Below are 17018 nucleotides of genomic sequence, written 5' to 3' on the forward strand. Positions count from 1 at the left end.
CCAGCACTTTAGGAGGCCAAGGCAGGCAGATCACTTGAGGTAAAGAGTTCGAGATCAGCCTGGCCAACATGGTGAAACCCCATCTCTACTAAAAATACAAAAATTAGCTGGGGATGGTGGTATGTGCCTGTAATCCCAGCTACTCGGGGGGCTGAGGCACAAGAATTGCTTGAACCTGGAAGGCGGAGGTTTCAGTGAGCCAAGATCATGCCACTGCACTCCAGCCTACTAATATATAACATTAGTAGTTAAATAGCAGTGAAACGTAATGGAGAGCAAGAAGTTTATATGAATATTCTATTCGACTTTATGAGTATCCTATTTGACTTATGATATTTAGGAATGAAATTAAAAAGCAGCTTCATATTTAACCTGTTATAGGAACAATAATTCAAACTATACTTAAAAATTACATAGGAAAGTGCTAGAAATCATGACAAACTTTCCCATAATGTGCCACTGAGGGACAAACTGTCAAATCTGAACAATGATTGCAAACACAGCAGAAACATCTTGATTCCTTTGTAGAAGGGTGGAGGGTCCTCTGACGAAATTTTTCCTGGCATACTCAGTGCCATTCTTGTCTCCGCAGTTGGAAAAAAGCCAGAATGAGTTGTAGAAAGCTAGAAAAGGCAATTAAAGTGAGTGCAGGATGGAGATGCTGTTGATATAATTACCAGTTGTGTTTTGAAGACCTACCATGTACTTGTCACAAGGCAAAACATTAGGGGTGGGGGCATACTTGTAATAATACAAGTACTATTTCCTGAATACTGTGAGTACCAAAGGTGCTGTGCTGAGTGCCTTAAAACTTTGTCTGGTGTGGCTCACGCCTATAATCGCAGCACTTCAGGAGGCAGAGGCAGGTGGATCACCTGAGGTCAGGAGTTCAAGACCAGCCTGACCAACATGGTGAAACCTCATCTCTAGTAAAAATACAAAAATTAGCTGGGTGTGGTGGCGGGCGCTACTCAGCTACTCGGAAGGCTGAGGCAGGAGAATCATTTGAACCCAGGAGGCGGAGGGAGCCACTGCACTCCAGCCTGGGCAACAAGAGCAAAAGTCCATCTCAAAATAAATAAATAAATAAATAAATAAATAAATTTTAAAACAATCCTATATATAAAGCAGTTCTTGTAGCGGAGATAGATAGCTGCTCACTAAAACTTGATTTCTTTCTCTTTCTGGGACCACAGCTAGACTGCATTTTCCAGACTTCCTTATGGTTAGCTGTGATCAAATGGTTAATGAGGCAATAAATAAAACCAACAACACTAAAACCAAAAATTGAGCTCTTGGTGGAGGAGAAGGCACATTGCATCCTTAGTAGAAGTAAAGTTTTTCCTAGCACTCAGCTTTGTAAAGGAACACATTTTACAAGGCACCTGCTAGGCACACACAGCACTGAGCTAGATGCTTTCTATACGTGCATGGAAAATAAACAAAGGGCAACAAAGAAGGAAAATGCAGTGTCTGATGTCTGTAGTCACTGAAGTCCTTCACATGTTGGGGAATACTTGACACTAAATGACTGAAATCCCAACCAAAGCATTTGAATACTATTTAACTGGAATGAATTGCATTTAAAAATAGCCATATTGAGATATAATTCAAACACTATTTAACATGTGCAACACAAAGTTTTTCATGTATTGACAGAGTTGTGCAACCATTGTGCGACCATTGTCATGATCTAATTTTAGAACATTTTCATCTCCCTCTAAAAGAAACTCTGTACTCATTAGTCGCCTTTCCTATCCCACATGTCCCCACAGCCCTAAGCAACCACTAATCTACCCTCCATCACTATCAATTTGTCTGTTCCGAACATTTCATAGAAATAGAATCATACAATAGGTAGTTTCTTTCACTTAGCACAATGTTTTCAAGGTTCATCCATGTCAGCGTATATAGCAGTACTTCATTCCTTTCATTGCTGAATCATATTCGACTCCATGGATATTCCACATTTTGTTTATTTATCAACCAGTTGATGCACATTCAGGTTGTTTCCATTTTTTGACTATTATAAATAATGCCGCTATGAACAATTGTTTCTTCCTTTAAAAATTGACATCCCATAAAATTCACTCTTTTATTTTTATTTTTGTTTATTTATTTATTTTTGACACAGAGTCTCGCTCTGTTGATCAGGCTGGAGTGCAGTGGCACGATCTCGGATGACTGCAACCTCCGCCTCCTGGGTTCAAGCAATTCTTCCGCCTCAGCCTTCCGAGTAGCTGAGATTACACTCGCCAGCCACCATGCTGGGCTAATTTTTTTTTGTATTTTAGTAGAGACGGGATTTTACTATGTTGGTCAGGCTGGTCTGGAACTCCTGACCTCAAATGATCCGCCTGCCTCGACCTCCCCAAATGCTGGGATTACAGGAGTGAGCCACCACGCCCGGGCCACCCTTTAAAAGTGTACGATGGAATGGCTTTGGCATATTCCTAGAATGATGCATCTATCACCACAATCTAATTCCAGCACATCTCATCACTCCCAAAAAGAAACCCCTTAAGCAGTCACTTTTCATTCCTCCTTCCCCTGACCCCCTGGTGACTGCCAATGCTCTTTCTGCCTCTATGGGTTTACCTATTCGAGACATTTCACATAGATGGAGTGATACAACAGGCAACCTTTGGAGTTTGGCTTCTTTGACTTAGCGTAATGTATTCAAGATAATATATAACATATATTCTATATGTTATAGCATAGATCAGTACTTTGCTCCTTTTTACGGCTGAATAATATTCCATCGAATGGGCATACAACATTTTGTTTATCCAGTCATTATTTCTGAGAAGATTTTGAGGTCAACTCTGAGGCAAGCAGGGAAGAGAGCTGTGGCTGTGTATATCTGCAATGTGCTGGGTCAGAGAGCACTGTGGGCCTTCCCATGTGCTACAAATTTTCCAACCTGATATTAGAAGAATGATGCATTTGAGACGACGTTCCAGTGTGACTTGAGATGTCTGGCAAATGTGTAAAATTGTATACTGAGGAAAGTGGTACCTAATAGCTAGAATGTTTTCTAAGAGACCTTCAGATATGTGCAGGATCCCAAGAAGTCAGAGATATAATAGAAGGGTAAGAAGAGATGATCTGATTCTTCCTCTTTGTTTTCTCATTAAAAAAGCAATCAATGCCACCATAAATTCTAACATTTCTAAAATTACATTTTTTTAAACAAAATTATCCAGGGACTTCTGAACACTGGGAGACATTTTCAATAGATCAAGGGAGAACGCCAATAATGCCCTACTGCAAATAGAGATCAAAGTAAATGTGGTGGGACAGATGTGATTTAAAATATTCTCTCCCAATTCAAATCAAAACCACAATGAGATACCATCTCACAGCAGTTAGAATGGTGATCATTAAAAAGTCAGGAAACAACAAATGCTGGAGAGGATGTGGACAAATAGGAATGCTTTTACACTGTTGATGGCAGTGTAAATTAGTTCAACCATCGTGGAAGACAGTGGGGCAGTTTCACAAGGATCTAGAACCAGAAATACCATTTGACCCAGCAATCCCATTACTGGGTATACACCCAAAGGACTATAAATCATTCTACTATAAAGACACATGCACACATATGTTTATTGCAGCACTATTAACAATAGCAAAGACTTGGAACAACCCAAATGTCCATCAATGATAGACTGGTTAAAGCAAATGTGGCACATATACACTGTAGAATACTATGCAGCCATGAAAAAGAATGAGTTCATGTCCTTTTCAGGGATATGAATGAAGCTGGAAACCATCATTCTCAGCAAACTAACACAAGAACTGAAAACCAAACACCTCATGTTTCTCACTCATAAGTGGGAGTTGAACAATGAGAACACATGGCCACAAGGAGGGGAACATCACACACCCGGGCCTGTCGCAGGGGGGCTGGGGGCTAGGGGAGAGATAGCATTAAGAGAAATACCTAATGTAGATGACAGGTTGATGGGTGCAGCAAACCGCCATGGCATGTGTATACCTATGTAACAAACCTGCACGTTCTGCACTTGTATCCCAGAACTTCATTGTGTACATTGTCTTTTCACTTTCTTGATGGAGTCTTTTGAAGCAAAAAGCTTTTAATTTTAATGAAGTCCAAGTTACCTATTATTTCTTTTGTTGCTTGTGCTTTGGCGTTTTATATATAATAGGAATCCATTGCCTAATTCAAGATCGTGAAGATTTACTTTGATGTTTTCTTCCAAGAGTTTTACAGTTTTATTTCTTACATTTAGGTCTTTGATCCATTTCGAGTTCATATTTGTATATGGTGTGAAATATGGATCCAACTTTATTCTTTTGCATACAGATAGTACTCATAGAATCATTTTTTTGAAAAGACTCTTCCCTGTGGAATTGTCTTGGCAAGTTTGTGAAACTCATTTGACCCTAAAAGGGGGTTTTTATCTCCAGTCTCTCACTTCTATTCCATTAATCTATGTATCTACCCTTGAGATTGAGAGAGCTAGTAATTAACCGATTAAGAACTGTTTACTTGGTCAGGCGCGGTGGCTCACGCTGGTAATCCCAGCACTTTGGGCGGCCGAGGAGGGCGGATCATGAGGTCAGGAGTTTGAGACCAGCCTGGCCAATATGGTGAAACCCCGTCTTTACTAAAAATACAAAAATTACCTGGGTGTGGTGGCACGTGCCTGTAGTCCCAGCTGCGCGAGAGGCTGAGGCAGGAGAATCGCTTGAACCCAGGAGGCGGAGGTTGCAGTGAGCCGAGATTATGCCACCGCCCTCCAGCCTGGGCTACAGAGCAGGACTCCGTCTCAAACACAACAAAACAGAAAAAAACTCTTTGCTCAATACTCCTATGGACTTAATAGCAATGATTGCTGCTAATGTGATTCTAATACTTTTTGGGCATGCCATCATTGTTTAATTTCAGAGCAAACTTTCTGGAACTGATAAATAATAAGCTCTCCTTAAGAAATTAAAGTGCATTAAAATAAATTGCTTTCAGGGGTTCTTAAACAAGTTCAAGACATCCAGGAGTGTGATACATTTGAGCGAGAAATAGCTGGCCTAGTTCACTCTCCACATTAATCAGAACGTCTCCCACCTTCTTTTTAGGGATAAGCACTCTCAAATATCATTATTCATAAACTAGGGGAGGGCCGGGTTTCCACTCGCATCAGTTACTTTCTCTCCCCTGAGAATATCTTGCAGCCGCTGGAATTTTGGGCCCCTTTGCTAGGAGGCAATTAACAAATTGCACTTTTACTATCAAAGCTGAGAGTGGCCCAGCAGTGGCCCTGGCCCTGCCGGCACGCTTCCGATGCGTCGCCCTGGCCTGAAGATCGCCACAGTCGGGTTCGCGCCCCGTGGTCCCCTAAGGCTTCCAGGGCGCTGGAGCTGGTGCACAGGACCTGCTCCTCCAGGGTCCCCATCTGGGTCTCCAGCGGTCCTTCCTCTCTGCCTTCTCCTCGCAGAGCACCCCGTGGGCCTAGTCTAAACGAGGGCACCACTGGTCCGGAGTTGCACTTGTTCGCTCCCTCCTGGGCTCTGGCAGCGCTGCATCCCCGGGGTTGCTTCGGGTTCGGGCCCAATAGCAGAGTCAGAGCCGAGACGCATGTCCCCTGCACCGGCCAAGGGTGCCGCTGGGGCTCGCGCCAAGGAGGCAAAGGCGGGGACCAGAGGCGCCGGAGGCGGCGCAACGCGCACAGGTGGCGCCCGGCCTGGCCAGGCTCTGGCAGGCGAGGCTGGGTGTGGTCGTGAAGGGGCGGGCGGACCGGCCCCACACTGCCTCGGTTCGGCAAGTGGGTCAGTTGGCTGGGGCTCACTTGGCAACGGGACGCGGGAACGAGGGGCGCGGACGCAGGCCCGGGAGGACGCGGCGGCGGGAACCTGGGGGCGCAGGGCTAGGGCAGCGGGCCCGACCCGCACGGCTTTCCTGGAAAGCGCTGCCCCTCGCCGCGGCGATGCCCTCGCTGTGGAGAGAAATCCTCTTGGAGTCGCTGCTGGGTAAGCCGAAGCCCCTCGCCGCGAGTTCGCGGGTGCCAGCTCCCCGGGCCATGTCCAGAGCCGTGGAGCCAGGCCAGGTTGGCTGAGTTCAGGTAGGAGGAAAAGGGCGCTCCGTGCCCAGAGTGGAGATGCTTATCGTCCCCTGGGAACTTTTCCTACTGAAGGGAATAAAGGAAAAGACCTAGATTGAAGTCTTCAAGCTGAGTCTGCGAGGCGCCCGCGAGAGACCCCGTCGCCCGAGTTCCCAGCAGCCCTGGGATTGTGCCCAAGGAGCGCGAATTCTCCTCGTGTCGGCCTTGACCCCGCGCGGCCGGTACCGTCCCCAAAGCCCCCCACCCGTGGCCTTTAAGTTTAACTTAATACAGTTCAGTGCTGAACTTTAAAATTCAGAAGGAAAGGGGCACCCGTTTTCCCCAGGAGCTGTAGGTGGACACTGGGCGGCAGCTGCTGCCGTGGGCTGGGCCCAGGACAAGTGGCCTTGGTGTCGGCTGCACACTTGGGCATTTGGCGAAAAGCATCAGACTCGAGTCTCATCTGCTCTCTCACCAGCTTTGCAAAATCCCGAGGACAATTTTATTGGTGTAATTCTGTCGGAGCTGTGTGAGTAATAAAATCAAAGTTCCCAGACAAACATTTGGGATATTGCTAGAATCCCCGGTTCGTTACAAAACAAAGATCCCTCTGGTCTGGGTGGGGCGCCTTCCTGAGAACTTGATTTTCTGGGAGCTGGTAATTCTCGGGAGTGCTTCAGACTATTTTTTTCTGGCTCAGCCTGTATCTATAAGTTGGGAGATGTACAGTGCCTAGCATTCAATAAGTACCTCAGGTGCTAGGTACTCAGTGCACTTGATCTCATTTAATCCTCCCAACAACACTGTGAAGGGGTTGAAAGTCCTATTTTGCTGATTAAGAAGGGGAGGTTGGAAAGTCAGTTGGTAGAAAGTTCCCACGCCCAGTGGTTAGACCGGCTACCTTTGGAGCCAGGCTGCTTAGAGTTAGGGCAACTCTGACATTTGCTACTTGTGTAACCTTAGGTACTCACTTAACTTTCTGAGTCTCAGTGTTTTGTTTGTTGTTTTGTTCTTGCTTAGTTAGTTTTTGCATTTATAAGAGGGGAGCGGAAATAGTACCCACCTCATAGCTTATGGGGCTGTATAAGGAATGAGACAGATGGTACATGTTAATACTTAGCACAGACCCTAGTGCATGGCAAGTGCCCATAGCGTTAATTATCATTATTGCTCAAGATTATACAGCAGCTGTTGGCAGAGGTACAACTTACTTCAGATCTGGGTATTCCACTACCCAGCACTGCCTCATAAGGATTGGACTGAAAATGGTCTACTCAAGGGAACGACTGCTGCCTCACTCAAGTGCTTTTGGGTGTAGTCTGGGGTTGGAGGAGGGAGTCCTGCTGCTTGCTGCCCTTTTGGACTCTCACAATATTTTTCATTATACAGGGGACAACTTAGGTAAGAAAATTTTGTCAGTCAGGGTCCTGACGGGATGCCAAATTCAACTCAGATGGTCCAAATGAATAGGACTTAATAAAGAGACTGTCTACAGCCATATGGGCAAGGGAAAGGAACACGCAAGGGATGTTGAGAGACTCACGGCAGCAGGAAGCCATCCTCTACTGGGGCCTGATGCGAGGAGTGGGAGAATATGTACATTTCACCAGAAATTTCACTTCTGGGTATATATCCTACAGATATACTCAGTGTCATGTGTTACATAGTGACATTTCACGAGGAAATTGCCATTGCTTTTCTGTCCATCAGTCTCTTAAGCACAACACAGTCAGTGCAGTGAGTTCTGCGGATCCCTACACAGGTGTAGAGCTCTTGTTTTGTTCCATGTCAGTGGAGACAACTGGAACCCAGTTCAGGCCAGAGTCATGAAGAAGAATGACCAGCCCAAGCGGCTGGAGTGGAGGGACAGGACTGTCGTTAGAAACAATGTTGAAGTTACACTTTCTCTCTTTAACTTTTTTTTTTTTTGTAGGATGTGTTTCTTGGTCTCTCTACCATGACCTGGGACCGATGATCTATTACTTTCCTTTGCAAACACTAGAACTCACTGGGCTTGAAGGTTTTAGTATAGCATTTCTTTCTCCAATATTCCTAACAATTACTCCTTTCTGGAAATTGGTTAACAAGAAGTGGATGCTAACCCTGCTGAGGATAATCACTATTGGTAAGATTTAAAAGAGTTTCTTTAAGTTGTTTTTTTTAAGTTAAAAATCAAGTGAGATTATGTAGACTGTTCTTTGAATACTAAATATTTGAATTTAAAAAATCAAAGATTTCTCTTTTCCTTACCACTGCCTTAGAAGAGCTTTAGTAATTGGAAGACTAGACTGAGAGTCAATGTGTTTTACATTTCCATTGTTTTTTCCAGACTAGAAAGACCTAAAAATCACTGCAATGAGTAGGGGAAAGACACCTTAAAGAACTGATCAGCTCTTGAATACATTGTGTTTTTCTTTCCAACTGTGACATAACACTCAGGAGCCATTTAAAAAAGTTTGTTAAATAATAATTCACAAGAAATGTGAAAATTATGATGAAAAACACCACAGTAAGCAGTCAAACAAGAAACTAGGAAAAATATTTGCAACTCTTTCAGCCAAAGGGCTAATTTCTCTTATATATAGAGTTCCTACAAACCAATAATAAAAAGAGACCAACAAATCAATAGAAAAGGGGGCACAGGATCTGATCAGTTCACTGGAAAGGAAATACAATTAGTTCTTAAAAATGGAATCAAATGTATAGGTCATAAATCATACACATACAGATATGTTTATCTAGAGTTTGACAAGTAGATTGGCAAAGAACAGCTGAGTCTTACTGCACTGTGCAGTAGGGGTGGGGAAACAGGCACTCATACATTGCTTGTGCGAGTGTCCATTGGCACAACCTCTATGAAGAACAATTTAGCAGTATTATCAAAATTACAAATATGCATATTTCACCAGAAATTCCACTTCTAGGAATATATCCTACAGATATACTCACAGTCATGCGTTGCTTAGTGACATTTCACTAGGATGTTGCCATCGCACAACACAGTCAGAGCAGTGAGTTCTGTGGATCCCCACAAAGGTATAGAGCTCTTGTTTTGTTTTGTGTCAGTAAAGATGAAGTCTTGCTATGTTGCTCAGGCTGGTCTCGAATTCCTGAGCTCAAGCCATTCTCCCTGGCCTCCCACAGTGCTGAGATTATAGGTGTGAGCCACTGCTCATGGCCTAGAGCTCTTGTTTTTAAAACAACTCAGGCTCAGAAGGATAGTGGTAAAAACTCCTGAAAAGTGTGCCCTTTACAAAATTGGTGTCCATAGGAATTGAAAGACATGTCAAATGGTCTTGAAATTTTCAGCTCCAGAAATAACAAATGAAGTTTCCTACCCTTAACTGAGTAAATATTAATTGATTTCAACTGGCATTGGCTTACAGTATCCTTACATGAACCACCGTAGCTCCGAGTCTTGCAAGATTCATTTCCTTATCACACTTCAGGTTGATTTTATGGGAGTGATCTCATAGGTGGTACTTTCTTGTCACCTTTGGTGCTGCCTATGTGGGCCTTACCTATAGATCCACAGACTGAGTAGTTACTGGGACAGTTTCCATTACTTAAGTCCATTTTTGGCCCAGTAACTTCTGGTGATGGTAAGGGATGTGATATAAAATAAGTTTGGGGTAGATATTGTATTTTATTTTGATGCTTCCTATTCCCTTTTCACTTTCTTCCTCCATGAAAACACATCCCCTTGAGCAGAAGTAGATTTATATTTGGAAATATGGAATAGGTAGGGAACATTACTCAGAGTTGAGGAGGAAGTGGCCAATCTCTGCTAAGTGCTGTTCCAGGTGACCATTGAGCTTTGTTGTTGCTAACAGAGGCTAAAGTAAGCCACGATTTGTCTTAAAACTCCCTTCAAATACTTCTTAAGGACATGAAACAACTTTGTTTTTAGAGTCCTGAGATATTCTTATATAAATACAGAGAGGATCTGAGCATTACATGCCATCTCACTTCTGGCACCTCAGATATTTTAGGTTAATTACTGTGTAATTAACTATGAAACCAGTTCATACTCCTATCAATTTAGATTATTTTTGATCCACCAGAAAGGCTATAATCAAAAAAGACAGACAATAATAAGTGTTGACAAGGATGTGGGGAAATTGGAACCTTCACACATTACTGGTAGAAATATAAGAAATATAAAATGGCACAGCTGCTTTGGCAAAGCGTGATAGAAGCTGTTATCATATGATCTAACAACTCTATTCCTTGGTATGTACCCAAGAAAAATGGAAACATCTGTTCACACATAAACTTGTACACAAATGTTCATAGCAGCATTATTCATGAGAGCCACAAAATGGAAACAACCTAAATGCCCATCAACTGATACATGGATAAACAAAATGTGGTATATACATGCAATGGAATATTATATAGCTATGAGAAATAATGAAACACTGATACATGCTACAACCTGGATGCACCCTGAAAACGTTATGCTAAGGGAAAGAAGGCAGTCACAAAAGGCCACATATTGTACAATTTAATATGAAGTGCCCAGAATAGGAAAAATTCGCAGAGACAGAAAATAGATTAGTGGTTGCCAGAGGCTAGGGCATGTGGAGAGAAGGGAATGAGAAGTGACCTGCTAATGGGGATGGGGTTTCTTTTTGGGGTGATGAAATTGTTCTGGAATTAGATAATGGTGATTGTTGCACGACTTTATGAGTATACTAAAAACCATTGAATTGTATATTTTAACATGGTGACTTTTATGATATGTGAATTGTATTTCAATAAAAATTTTAAATACATATATAAAATTATACATCAACTCTGTCTTCCTGAGTATAAAGATGGTATCAGATAACATGCATCAAATGCAGATCACGGAGTTCCAATCCATACTTGCCAGAAATGCTTAGCTCTCCCTATTTTGTTTGTAGGCAGCATAGCCTCCTTCCAGGCTCCAAATGCCAAACTTCGACTGATGGTTCTTGCGCTTGGGGTGTCTTCCTCACTGATAGTGCAAGCTGTGACTTGGTGGTCAGGAAGTCATTTGCAAAGGTATGGTTAATGTTTCATGTACTTATAGACAAACAAGTATAACCAGTTACCAAAGGGAAACCTGGGGCCAGGAGTTCCAGGTTATAGTTTTTACCTTCCATATGGCTTTGTCAAAGTCTCCTTTTTTTTCCTTTTCCCAAAACAAGGACATGAATACTTGCCATCAATCTCAATAAGGTTTTGAAAACTAAAGAATTATAGCAAGTTGCTGAAGTTGCTATATAGAGGCTAAATCACATTCATTATTGCAAATTACCAATAAGACTATTTCAGCTACTTATTCTATGAAACTGAAATTCATGATGGACATAGTACATTGAGTCCACATAAAAAGTGTTTAAAAATACTTTTGCACTTACAGGTACCTCAGAATTTGGGGATTCATTTTAGGACAGATTGTTCTTGTTGTTCTACGCATATGGTATACTTCACTAAACCCAATCTGGAGTTATCAGATGTCCAACAAAGTGATACTGACATTAAGTGCCATAGCCACACTTGATCGTATTGGCACAGGTAATACTGTAACTTAGGAATTTTCTCTTTGCAGAGCTTACCTTTCCTATGTGAATGTTGCACATCTTGGAAAGAAAATCTATAAAAGTAGTCTTTCTGCATTATATCTATATTTCAGCTTTTTCTTCCTCTGAAATAATAATTGGTGCAGCCAGTGGGCTATTTGCTAAGCAGGAGGCACATTTTCCTTGCCTGTACAGACAGAGGGTGAAAATAAAATACCATTACTGGTTTGTAGCACTGTGGCAGTGGGAGACGAGAACCAGGCCTCATATCCCAGCTGGCATTCAGCTCTGTCTTCCTCCTTCTTTCCCCTGGTCAGAGCTCTCTAGGATGGGATTCTCCATCCTCCACCTCCACACTGACCTCAGTACATCTGTAACACTAAGGAAAGTTTCTGTCACGTATGGCTGTCACTGGAACTCCCTGGGTTTTTTTTCCCAGAGGTCTGAAGCTCCAAATCTAAGAATTGAAAAGATAAGAAACCTTGCATATGCATACTGACTTTCCAATCACCTGTCTCTCCCAGGGGCCAGCTTTCTCCGAGACAGAAACATGCCCAGCTTAGAGTTTGTTTCATAAACCAACCCGAGACTCTTCTAAAAAGAAGGGAGAGGTATTAGTGGATTCTAGTTAACGTGCTCCTAGCTTTTTGTGTAACTCTCAGTGAGTCACTGTTCTTCTGTAACTACAAGGTGAAATCTCACAGACTAATGGAAGTTTAGAGGGTATTGGCTCACCAAAAAGTGCTTGTATAATTCCCCCTGTGGCCCCTAGTTTGGCATGAAATGAGAATAGAGGGAAATTATGTCAGTAAATTGGCCTTGTGATGTTAATAGTAGAAGACTTAGAACTCTGTCTGGTCCCCTAACTTATGTTTTACATTCATATCTAGAGGCAGAGACTCGGGCAGCCCATTTTGCCGGTACAGCCTGATAAAGATCTGAACTTCAGGGTACTGTTTACATCTCCTGACTTTTCTTCTATCTGGCCTCTGTTTTAAATGTATGTGACCCAGTTCCTGGCTGGCAGTCCCTTCCTCCATTTCTGCTCTGTGCCTTCCTTTATAAAACTGACTGTTCACCCTGCACCTTCTCAGCCTATCTGAGCATACCAAGTATTTTTTGTAGTTTCCTTTGAAGATTTGTTGGGTCCTGGGTGGGGGTGGAGTCACCCACTGTAATACACTGCATTTTACTCAGCAAATTCAGTTTAGATGGCTCTTTTTCCTCAAAACTCTCCGCTGAGCCCCCAGACCCCTGGCCTCCCTTCTGTCACCACCGCCTTCTCCCATTCCATCCCATCCCCATAGCTCTCGGCTCTGCCCCTCCTCACTCTGATCCTGTTAATGTCAGAGAAGCTTTCTTGGGAAATTAGACTGCCAGCCATACTGTCAGACCCTAAGACCTTCCTTCTGTCCTGTAGAGGGCTGGATGGGGTCACAAAGCATCTGCCCAATAGGCTCTCTCTGTTTCTACGAAGAAGTCCTCCTGCTGGCATCTTCTCCAGTTGTTACAGTTTTGTGTGTGAAGTCATTGCTGTGATGAATTGGACCTCTTGGTTAAACAGTACCAAAGAGCTACACTGCCTAAGCTCCAATCCCAGGTTCCTAGGTTATCTTTACTAGCTGTGTGAACTTGGAAAGGCTACCTGATCTCTCTGTGTCTGTTTTCTTGTTTTTGAGATGGAGTTTCACTCTTGTTGCCCGGGCTGGAGTGCAGTGTCACGATCTCAGCGCACTGCAACCCCTGCCTCCCAGGTTCAAGCGATTCTCCTGACTCAGCCTCCCGAGTAGCTGGGATTACAGGCGTCTGCCACCGTGCCCGGCTAACTTTTTTTTTTTGTATTTTTAGTAGAGACAGGGTTTCACCATGTTGGCCAGGCTGGTTTCAAACTCCTGACCTCAGGTGATCCACCTGCCTTGGCCTCCCAAAGTGCTGGGATTACAGGCTCGAGCCACTGCATCTGGCCCTGTTTTCTAATTTGTAAAATAGGATTAATAGTAGAGCCTACCTCATAAAGTTGTGAAAGTTAAATGAGTTAATATAAAGTTAATATACAGGGCTTGGAAGAGGGGTTGGTGCACAGTGGCTGCCCAGTCAATGCACTAATATTACTCTGCACCCACAGAGGGTTAGATGAGAGCCCTGTTCTTTGGGAGGAAGCAGCTTGTGTACTGGAAATGTTCCACTCAATTTGTACAACATTTGTTCACAAACACAAACACTTTTTCTGCAATGCGTTAGCTTCACATGAAGCAAATAATTTTCTGCATTTTCACCTGTTGAATTCCAAAATGCCTTTTCTCCCTTAAACCATTCCTTATCTGGCCTGCATGGAATTATGTCTCCCACTAAATAGCTGTCAGCATGTTTAGCTTCATATTGTAGTTGCATGTCTCATCTCCTCTTCCGAAGTAAGCTTCTTGAAGCCAAATACCATTTCTTCCTTGCTAAAAGTCTGCTAAATATAGAGCGCAAATTTCCATATAACTAAACTTTTTCCATATATGTATTTTTAAATTCTAGATGGTGACTGCAGTAAACCTGAAGAAAAGAAGACTGGTGAGGTAGCCACGGGGATGGCCTCTAGACCCAACTGGCTGCTGGCAGGGGCTGCTTTTGGTAGCCTTGTGTTCCTCACCCACTGGGTTTTTGGAGAAGTCTCTCTTGTTTCCAGATGGGCAGTGAGTGGGCATCCACATCCAGGGCCAGATCCTAACCCATTTGGGTGAGTTTGGGTTTGGAAGCAATCACAAAATCGGCAGTTATGCCTGGAGGAAGCAATGCCTCCTTTGTCAGACAGCTAGGTCTGTGCTAGCCAGATATTTCATACCACTCTCCCTAGATATCAGAATGTGGCATGAAATTATTGTGTGCTCTGGAGAGAAGGGCACTAGAAGGGTCTTTTCCTCTGTGCAGAAGGATTGCTGAAAAGTAGATGTGGGAGGCCCAATGGTTGTGCACAGCTAAGTAAGAGGTTCCCAGAGCTCCAGCATAGGCATCTCGAGGAATGCCTGCACAGAAGAGCATTCTCAGTGGTGGGAGAGGAGCAGCATTCCCTGGCCATTTCCTCCAGACCCTCTGGTTATGGTTATGGGCATTTAGTAGGATAAGACCACAGTCCCCTGAGGAGACTAGGTTGGCTGCCTGGGGCACAGATCTCTATTCTCAGCAAAGGAGGGCAGCCCCAGGAGATCCCTGCATCTTCTGGTACTTTCTTGTTCCAGCTGTGGGACAGGGTCACACAGGGAGTTAGTAGTCTGGAGTCAAGTGTTGGTCCTTGTGTTTGGTCCTTTTTAACTCTCTCTCTGCTCTTCCTGACACATCTTTTCTCTTGTAACTGGCTCCATCTCTTCTTGCAAAAAAATTGGAGGAATTCTTAAAAGATCTGCCTCCGATATCTTTTCTCTCTTGTAGTGCTGAATTCTTACAATTGAAGGCATGCAGCTGCCTACTGGATCTTTCCCCAGCAGGGATCTGGGCATATCCCACAGGCTTGTCAACCTCAGCTTGTCCAAATCTGAACTCAGTATTTCCCAGTCCTCCACGCATGTTCTTCTTCCCCCATTCCCAGGTCCATTTTGTCTGTCCACCTCATCATCCAAACCTGAGACCAAGAGTTTGCCCAGAATTCTCCATCTTCCTCATTTTCTCCAACTCAGTTCTATGACTTCTCTTAGATTAACCCCTTCTTCTCTATCCCTAAGTTCATCTGCCTTAGTGGAGTCCTCACCATTTTTTCATTCAGGCTATTACTGTTGTCTCCTAATTGTCTCTCTTTAGCAGAATCTTCTCCACATGGTTCCAGAATGATCTCTGTAAAATGCAAATCTGATTCCACCACTCCTTTACTGATAACCTCTCAGCAGTTCCCCCCCACCAATACCTGGTGGCCCCCAATTCTCCCATATGAGGCAGGATCTGGCCCCCCTACTTACCTTTCCAAATGCTTTCTGATCTTATCCTCCTGCTTCACCTGAGTCGAACCCACTTGCGCTTCTCTGGAAGTGCCAGACTGTTCCTGTCCCCCCTCTGCCTGGGCTTGCTTTTCTGCCTTGATGTCCTGGCAAGCCCTACTCCCTTCAAAACCCAGCACAAACATTTTCTCTGTGAATTATTCTGTTATTATCACAGGGGATCCTCCTTTATGCCACATACTATAATACTTTGAGTCAATCAATTTTTATATATGTGTTATATATGTGTACACACACACACACACACACACACACACACACATATATATATGTATCTGTTAGAAACTTTATATTCTGTATTACAGATTTTAAAAAATGTTTTTCTTCCTGTCTAGACACTAAGTCCCTTGAGGGCAGGGAATGGGAAAAGGAATGAATGTTGATTACTTACTCTGTGTCAGGTCCTGAACAAGGACTTTTGAAAATATTATTTCATTTAGAGTCTGTATCTTCTTCCATATCTGGGAGGAAGGCAGAGAAGAAAGAAAGGAACAAAAGGCCAGAGAGGAAGGAAGAAGTTTATTCCTATGTGTTAAAGCTTAGTTTCCAAAGTTACCTGTGAAAACAAGCATAAGTTTTGTGGCAGAGTAAAGGAAGAACTTTAATGGTAAATGGTGAGTCCTGGTAACCAGGAGAAACTCACCATTCAACTCTGGGCCAATCATATTACATCCCTGGCCTTGCTTTACTCACAAGAAGAATGTAACTAAACTTCAGGGGGAAACTTTCTCACATATATAAAATCAGCATTTGCTTTTCAGACATTTCCTAATCCTGTATGTTAGAATGAGACACTGAAGACGGAACTGCAACTCACAAGACCAGCATTTCCCAAACTGTGTTCTGTGAGATGCTGGTTTCTTGAGATGTTAATGGTTACTCTGAGAAAAAGAAAATGCTTCTACATCAAATAGGTTGAGGAAATAGTGCATTTCAATCTCCCTTTCTTTGTGCTTCACAATGCACATCAGCATATTAGAGACTTTTGCAGGTTTCCTAAAGTTATTTGAACATGGAATTCTTCTTTAGAACATCTATTAATATCTGACAGAATAGGTGTGTTTCTCAGAACCAGCTTGAGAAATGTTGCATTAGGCCATCATCATGAATAGCTGGGACTACAGGCACCTGACACTACACCTGGCTAACTTAAAACTTTTTTTTTTTTTTGTAGAGGCAAGGTCTCACTATTTTTTCCAGGCTGCTCTCAAACTCCTGACCTCAAACAATCCTCCCACCTCTGCCTCCCAAAGTGCTGGTATTACTGTCATGAGTCACTGTGCCTGGCCCTATCTGCATTATTTATTAATGGTGTTTATTATATGTTTCCCCCACTGGAATGTGAGCTCTATGGGAGAAAGGGATCGTTGTTCATTGATGCATCCCAAACACCTAGAATGGAGCCTGGCACATAGTGGGCACTCAAAAAT

At 43.2% G+C, this 17018-nt stretch overlaps 1 protein-coding gene across 7 annotated transcripts in view; it reads left to right on the top strand.

The window, feature by feature from the left end:
* Positions 1-5793: 5793 nt before the first annotated feature.
* CWH43 (cell wall biogenesis 43 C-terminal homolog) overlaps positions 5794-17018 on the top strand; it is a 75805-nt gene continuing 64580 nt past the window's right edge. For 3 of the 7 annotated variants that reach the window (XM_011513755.2, NM_025087.3, XM_011513758.2), the window contains exons 1-5: positions 5794-5991; positions 7996-8187; positions 10973-11093; positions 11455-11609; positions 14138-14339. In XM_011513755.2, coding sequence (XP_011512057.1) covers positions 5949-5991; positions 7996-8187; positions 10973-11093; positions 11455-11609; positions 14138-14339 — 713 coding nt within the window. In that variant the 5' untranslated portion in view covers positions 5794-5948. Of the gene's footprint in view, positions 5992-6157; positions 6305-6332; positions 6592-7995; positions 8188-10972; positions 11094-11454; positions 11610-14137; positions 14340-17018 lie in introns of those variants that run through there. The other 4 variants (XM_011513757.3, NM_001286791.2, XM_011513756.4 and 1 more) reach the window with 3 other exon arrangements.

Source organism: Homo sapiens, chromosome 4 (genome assembly GCF_000001405.40).
Source record: "Homo sapiens chromosome 4, GRCh38.p14 Primary Assembly".
NCBI classification, from domain to species: Eukaryota; Metazoa; Chordata; class Mammalia; order Primates; family Hominidae; genus Homo; species Homo sapiens.